Source organism: Homo sapiens, chromosome Y, assembly GCF_000001405.40.
Source record: "Homo sapiens chromosome Y, GRCh38.p14 Primary Assembly".
In the NCBI taxonomy this organism is placed as follows: Eukaryota; Metazoa; Chordata; class Mammalia; order Primates; family Hominidae; genus Homo; species Homo sapiens.
The window spans coordinates 21,833,358-21,841,196 of NC_000024.10; the positions used below are offsets into that span (position 1 = coordinate 21,833,358).

The 7,839-nt window shown below is 47.5% G+C and overlaps 1 long non-coding RNA gene across 1 annotated transcript; it reads left to right on the top strand.

Moving 5' to 3' along the window:
- Positions 1-2,912: 2,912 nt before the first annotated feature.
- On the top strand, positions 2,913-5,801 carry LOC105377237 (uncharacterized). The gene is made up of 3 exons (XR_938662.4): positions 2,913-4,150; positions 5,323-5,482; positions 5,643-5,801. It is a non-coding gene; the product is annotated as an uncharacterized LOC105377237 (long non-coding RNA).
- The last annotated feature ends 2,038 nt before the right edge of the window (positions 5,802-7,839 follow it).

The following is a 7,839-nucleotide window of genomic DNA, read 5'->3' on the forward strand; positions in this document are numbered from 1 at the left end:
TGTCATTCATTTTTCTGTGGGTCTGAATCCACAGTGAACTGGGAGGTGGGCAAAGACCCACCGGCTTTCAAATCACCTCCCCCTGCAAAAAAACAAAACAAAACAAAACAAAACAAACCTCTCTTCTAGAAAGAAGAGGAGCCCCTACCACATGAAAAACAGACATCTCCCAGGTTTTCATTGTCCTGTGGCCAACCCAGGGAGAAACCCTCACAGTCCTGTCTGCAGTGCCCCTTGAATTTACATTGAATTCGGTTCCCAGGAGAGCAGGTGTTTCACATTGTGAGGGGACACTTCTCCATCATCTTGGGATTTCATTCTGGGACATACAGTGTGAGATGCAATCAGTTCAGAAAGGGGTGAAGATACAGACTGGTGAAGGGTGGATGGGTTCTTGCAACTTCAACTGCAAAAAGATTGAAGACAGGTGTCACAGAAGGTGCTTCCAACACCATCTCTACATTCAATTAATTACACAAGCAGTCCACACTATGGCCTGGTGTTCACGTGAGAGTATTCCAATGTACAAGGAACATTTGGAGTGCAAATTGGGGCCATCCTGGTACACTCCTGATTTGAGGGCTTTCATACCCAAAGCCAAATTGGAATGGAATGGATTGATGCTGGGTGAGATATGACCTCCACACTTGCCTCTTCTTTTCTGGACTTCCATGTTTCTCATTGACCTAGGGTTTCCTGGTTATGGCTCAAAGACTTCCACAGTAAACTTTTTCCAGTTCACAGAGAATGATCCTCATGGGAATCCACTGTGTGAGAGTTTCCTTCTAAACACTGTCATTTTTAATGACTGGGCAGATTTGATACTTTTAAAACTGTAAATTCCCATTACATCCACCAGCAAGGGAACTCTTGTTCTCTCACTTCTATCAGAGTGCTGCATGATTTCTGCAGGATGAAAAGCAGGTAGCCGTGTTTGATTTTTGCCTCATAATCTAGTGTATTTTTCACCTCATCTGCATGTTCTTTTCACTGTGGAGGGGCTGGCTCCTTCATTGGGCTGTTGCTGCTTGGGACTGCCTCTCCCCACAGAGTAGTTAGCTGCCAGGAATTTCAGACAGCAAAACGGACTTCGGGTATGTCAGCTGCCCTTCATGTTGTGGGATGTTGTCTCGTTGTGGGGGCTGAGGTTGTTTACATTTTGCAGGAGTCTTTTTGGTCCTCTGACAGGAGTCATTGAACATTGCTTGTACTCTGCCATAATGCATCTCTTTCTCTCAGGCAAGCCTTGATTTTTCTTTGCTTTCAAGGGGAATACACAGTGCCCCTCAACAACACTACTGGACACCCTTTCAGACTTTGCACTGCCACAGACATCTTCTGAGATACTTTCTTAACCTCATGTGAACCTGCAAGAAGCCAGTCCGAGGTGTGAGAACACTGCTCCACCTTGGACTTGCCTTTGTTGTGGTTTCTGCCTCTCCCAAAGAGCCCCTGTGAGGCTCAGGATGAAGGGTGGCAGTGAGGTCAAGAGCCTGACCATCTTTTGCTGGCACCCACCTCTGGGATCTCAGATGTTTCTATCACCGAAAGTACCTTCAGAAACACACCAGACTATATTCCAATCCCCATGGGACCCTATTCTTGCCCACAGCCTCTTTGGAGAATAAAGTCAGAAGAGCAGTTTCCAGTGACCACCTCACAGTCTGAAAATGCCTCCTCCTCCAGTGGGACCAGACCACAGAGATGGCCCCAAGGGGCCCTGTCGTGGAGAAATTTAGTGTCCCACAGTGGGTATTCGCAGGCAGCCTTTATTGCAACACCAGGCCAGTTTGGTCTGCAGTATTTTCCTGTGCTTAGGCAGGCTGACAGTTCTGACAGCCAGACATCCTTGCCTGCCTCAGGACTGCGCATGTGCTAGACTCAGGGAACGAGGCCTGATTATGAGCCCTGGCTTGTGTCAAAACAATTGTCATCGTTGCCTAACTACAAGGCCCTTGGCTTGGCGGCAAAGGAGGCCTCTGTGTAGGTGCAATGGCAGTGGGCTCTCGCCTCTTTTCTGTTGGATTCTCCAGATAGTCCCATGATCCCAAGAGAGGGCAGATGTGAGCTAGCCTAAAGCAACCTCAAGCACAACCCCAGGAATAAATTGTGAAATCTGTAAGAATCCAAAAGTATCTGCAGGATTCCTCAGGCCTGTATAGCTGTTGTGGGGGTGAGTCTTTTTTAAACTTGCCCCACTGTGATTTCTAGATACAGCCTGCCTGTGTTCCAACAGGTTACTCTCTCCCAGGTGGGGCTTTCGGCAGAACCATGCGTCCTCAGTAGCTGCTGGGCTGTGTGCCTGTGGGAGGCTTGCGAGTGTTGGATATGTGTGTGTGTGTGTGTGTGTGTGTGTGTGTGTGTATGTGCATCTGCCTCTAAGTGGAGTCTGTTTAAAGGAATGAGGCTGACACACTTAAGCGCTTCTTCTTTTTTTTTTTTTTCAGTCTCCCAACCTAGTGTTTTCCTGTCTGTATGGCTCTGCTTGGGCTGCAGGGCTTTGTTTTCTTTATTTTTCTGTGGATCATGAATCCACAGATAATTGGGAGGTGTGCCATGAACCACCGGCTTTCAAATCAGCTCTGCCTGCAAAATATAAACAAACAAACAAACAAATAAATGCCACACGAAAAAACAGGCATCTCCCAGTGTTTCATTGTTCTGCAGCCAACCCAGGGAGAAACATTAGCAATCTTTTCCACAGGGAGATACACAAAGCCACACGCACATGCAGACATCAAACACTCACAACACTCTCACAGAAAAAGACAGCCCAGCATCTCCTGAGGCTGCCTGGTACTGCAGGAAGCTTCACTTGGGAGACAGCAACCCTGGGGAACCCATGTGGGCTGTGCTTAGAAAACAGAGTGGGGCAATTTTCAAAAAGACTCACCCCTACAACATCTAGGTAGAACTGAGGCATCTTGAAGATCCTTTTGGACCCTTAGGGATTCCCCGGTTAATTCCTGCAGCACTTCTTGAAGTTTCCTCAGGCTGGCTCACGTCAGCCTTCTCCTAGGATCATGGGATTATCCTGAGGATCCCACAAAGAAGACAAGTGAGAGTCTCCCACCGACCTACCTCCATGGAGGTTTCCATCTCCGCCACACTGCAGGGACTTGTCTCTAGGCAACGGTGGCATTCATTGTGACGCCATCCAGAGCTTACAGCTCAGGCCTCCTGCCCTGAGACTAGCACATGCAAATTCGTGAGGCAAGGTTGGGTGCCCAGCTGTCAGAGATTTCTGCCTGCCTAAACAGAGGTAAATAGTACAGGCAGAGCCGGCCTGGTATCAGAAAAAAGCCTGACTGTGATAATTCACTGAGGGACACTAAAAGTCTCAACCTTAGAGCTCCCTCCGGTTGTCTCCATGGTCTGGCCTTACTTCAGCAGGACACATTTTGAGACTATGAGGTGGATGCTGGAAACTGCTTTTCTGACTCCTTGCCCAAAAGAGGCTGTGTGTTAAGAATCAGGTCCTATTGAGAGAAGCTGGCTGGGCTTCTGGGTCCAGTGGGGACTTGGAGAACTTTTCTCTCTAGCTAAATGATTGTAAACACACCAATCAGCACTCTGTAAAAATGGACCAATCACCACTCTGTAAAACAGACCCATCGGCACTCTGTAAAATGGACCAATCAGCAGAACGTGGGTGGGGCCAAATAAGGGAATAAAAGCTGGCCACCTGAGCTAGCAGTGGCAACCCGGGGGGTTCCTCCCATGGTGTGGAGGGTTCCTTCTTTCGCTCTTCACAATAAATCTTGCTGCTGCTCAGCCTTTGGGTCTGCACTACTTTTATGAGCTGTAACACTGACTGAAAATGTCTGTGGCTTTACTCCTGAAGTCAGCGAGACCATGAACCCACCAGGAGGAACAAGCAACTCTGGAGGCGCCACCTTTAAGAGCTGTAACACTCACTGGGAAGGTCTGCGGATTCACTACTGATGTCAAGTGGGACCATGAACCCACCAGAAGGAAGAAACTCTGGACACATCTGAACATCTGAAGGAACAAACTCTGGACACACCATCTTTAAGAACTACAACACTCACCCCAAGGGTCCACAGCTTCATTCTTGAAGTCAGCAAGACTAAGAACCCACCAGAAGGAACAAATTCTGGTCACACCATGGGGATTGGAATATAGTCTGGTGAGTTTCTGTGGGTTTTTGGGTGATGGAATCATAACTGAGACCCCAGAGGCGGGTGTCTGCAAAAGATGGCTGGGCTCTTGACCTCATCCTCCCACTGCCCACTGCCTCCCTTCATCCTGGCCTTATAAGGGCTCCCAGAGAAAGGCTGGAACCATGACAAAAGTAGGTCCAAGTTGGAGCAGTGTTCTCACACCTCAAACTGGCCTCTCAAAGGTGCAAACAAGGTTGAGACAGTGTCTCAGAGGCTGTCTGTGACAATTGCAAGCCTGGAATGGTGTCCAGCAGTGCTGTTGAGGGGCAATGTGGACCCCCCATGAAAGCAAAGAAAACTCAAAGCTTGCCTGAGAGAATGAACTGACTAGTGTCAGAGACGCAGCAATATTCAAAGGTATATGTCAAAAGACCCAAAATCCTCTGTCAAAGTGCAAATAAATTCAGCCCCCAAAATGAGAACACAAGCCACAACCTGGAACATAGCCAGCCTACCTAAAGTCCTTCTTGCTCCCTGAAATTCCTGGCATCCAAAAGATGAGTGATGATAGGCAGTCCCATTCAGCAAGAACACAATGAAAGATCCACTCAACAATGAGAAGACCATGCAAATAAAAGTGAAACAGAGTCTAGATTACCAGGTAAAAGCCAAACACAGCTGTCTGCTTCTCATCCTACAGGAATCATGAAGCCCTCTGATAGAAGTGAAAGAACAAGAGTTTCCTTGTTGACAGCTGTCACGGCAATTTATGGTTTTAAATTATCAATGCTGCCCAGTCATTAAAAAGTGACAGGGTTTAGAAGGAAACACTCATGTGATGGATTCCCATGAGGGTCATTCTCTGAGAAGTGGGAAAGATTTAGTGTGGAAGCCATTGTGCAAGACCCAGGAAACCCTAGGCTGACGAGGAACCTGGAAGTCAAGAAAAGAAGAGGTCACCCCTCCCAGCATTAACCCATTCCATCCCCATTCCAACCTATTTGGCTATGGGTGTGAAAGCCATAAATCAGGAGTTTGTCAGGATGGGCCCAATTTGCACTCCAAATACTCCCTGAACATTGGATTACTTCCACCTGAAAAATAGGCCGTGATGGGGACCGCTTGCACAATTAGCAGAATGGGGGGATGGATTTGGAAGCAACTTCAGTGTCATCTGTCTTCATTTTTTTTTTTGCAGTTGAAATTGTGGGACCCATCCACTCCTCACTAGATTGTATCCTCAACCCTATCTGACCTTATTGCTGCTCACACTCTGTGTCCCAGGATGAAATCTCAAGATGATGGAGGAGTGCCCCCTTTGACCTGAAGCACCTGCTCAGCTAGGAACCAAATTCAAGGTAAGTTTCAGAGTTACTGGGGAAAGGACTGCTAGTGTCTCTCATTGGGTTGACCACAGGACAATGAAACAGTGGGAGATGTCTGTTTTCTAGTGTTGTGTGTTCCTCATCTTTCTAGAAGAGTGCTTTTTGTTCATTTGCTTGTTTGTTTGTTTTGCAGGGGGAGGTGACTTGGACGCTGGCAAGTCTCGACCCGCCCCCCAATATACTGGGGATTCATGATCCACAGAAAAATAGAGAACACAGCCCTGCGACTAAAGCAAAGCCACACAGACAAGCCATCAAAATGTTGAGAGACTCAAATAAAGAAGCACTGAAATGTGTTAGCCACATTCTTTTAAGCAGACTCCATTTGCAGGAACACACACACACAAAGACACAATACCACACAAACACATGCAGAAATCTGACACTCATAACACTCCCACAGAAACACACAGCCCGGCAGCTTCTGAGGCTGTGTGTTTCTGTAGGAAGCCCCACCTTGGAGAGAGCAACCCCAGGGAACAGAGGCAGGCTCTAACTAAAAATATCATGGGGGCAAGTTTCATAAAGACTCACTCCTAGAACTCCTGGGCAGGCCTAAGGAATCCTGCAGATGATTTTGGATCCACAGGGATTTTGTAGTTTATTCCTGGGGCTCTGCTTGACATTTCTTCAGGCTCACTCACATCTTTCTCTCCTAGGATCATGGGATTATTCCATGTATCCCACAGAGAAGACAGGTGAGAGTCCACCAGCGCACCTCCACAGAGGTCTCTTTCTCCACAAGCTGCAGGGACTTGTCTCTTGCCAACAGTGACATTCCTTGTGACACTTGCCAGAACTCAAAATCAGGCATGGTGCCCTGAGTCTAGCTCATGCACATTCGTGAGGCAGGCTCTGGCATCCGGCTGTCAGAGCTGTCAGCCTGACTAAGCAGAGGAAAATGCTGCAAGCAGAGCCGGCCTTGTATCAGGAAAAAGGATGCCTATGAAAACCCACTGCGAGACCCTAAAAGTCTCAAACTCAGGGCCTCTTTGGGCCATCTCCATGGTCAGGTCCCACTGGAGGAGGAGGTGTTTCAAGACTGTGAGGTGGTCGCTGGAAACTGCTCTTCTGACTCTATTCCTGAAAGAGGCTGTGTGCAAGAATCAGGTCCCATGGAGATTGGAATAGAGTCTCTTGTGTTGTTGGGGTTCTTTGGGTGATAGAATTATACTTGAAACCCCAGAGGTGGGCATCACTAAAAGATGCCCGAGCTTGACCTCATGGCATCCCTTCATCCTGGGTCTCACAGGGGCTGTCTGGAAAAGTCAGGAACCATCACAGAGGAAAGTCCAAGGTGAAGCAGTTGTCTCACACCACAGACTGGTCTCTCCTTGGTGCAGATGAGGTTGACACAGTGACTCAGAGGCTGTCTGTGGTGATAGTAAGCCTGAAAATTGTGTTCAGCAGTGCTGTAGTGCTGTTAAGGGTCATTGTAGATTTTTCATGAAAGCAAGGAAAAAACAAGGCTTGCCTGAGGAAATGAGCTGCCTTGTGCTGGAGTCCAAACTTGGACTGAACTCTTATGGGTAAAGATAAGGTAGAGACCATGTCTCAGAGGTCATCTTTGATGATGCCAAGCCTGAAAATGATATCCAGTAGAGCTGTTGAAGGACACTGTAGATTGTCCATAAAAGCAAAGAAAAATCAAGGTTCACCTGATAGAATGAGCTGCATTGACCTGGAGTTTAAGCAATGTTCAATGCTTCCTGTTAGAGGTCCCAAAAGCCTCCTGCAAATTGCAAACAACCTCAGCCCCCATAACGAGACAACGACTCAAAACTTGGAGCACCGCCAGACTCCTCAAAGTCCCTTTTGCTCTTTGAAATCTCTGGAAGCAAAATAATCTTTGGCAAGAGGCAGTCCCATCCAGCCACAGCCCAATGAAAGAACCCCCACTCAACGAGAAGACCATGTAGATGAAAAAAATCAGAGACTAGATTGCCAGGCAAAAGCCAGACAGGGCTGCCTGCTTCTCATCCTACAGGAATCATGCGGAATGCCAAGAGAAGTGAAAAAAAAAAGAGTTTCCTTGTTGGCAGCTGTAAGGGAATTTACAGTTTTAAAGGTATCAAAGCTGCCCAGTCATTAAATTGTGACAGTGTTTAGAAGGAAACACTCAGGCAATGGATTCCCATTAGGGTCATTCTCTGTGAACTGAGAAACGTTTACTGTGTCATTGAGCCAGACACAGGAAAACCTGCACCAACAAGAAACATGGACATCAGAGAAAGAAGAGTCAAGTGTGGAGGCCATATCCCACCAAGCATCAATCCATTTCATTCCCATTTGGCTCCCGGTATGAAAGCCCTCAAATTGGGAGTTTGCCA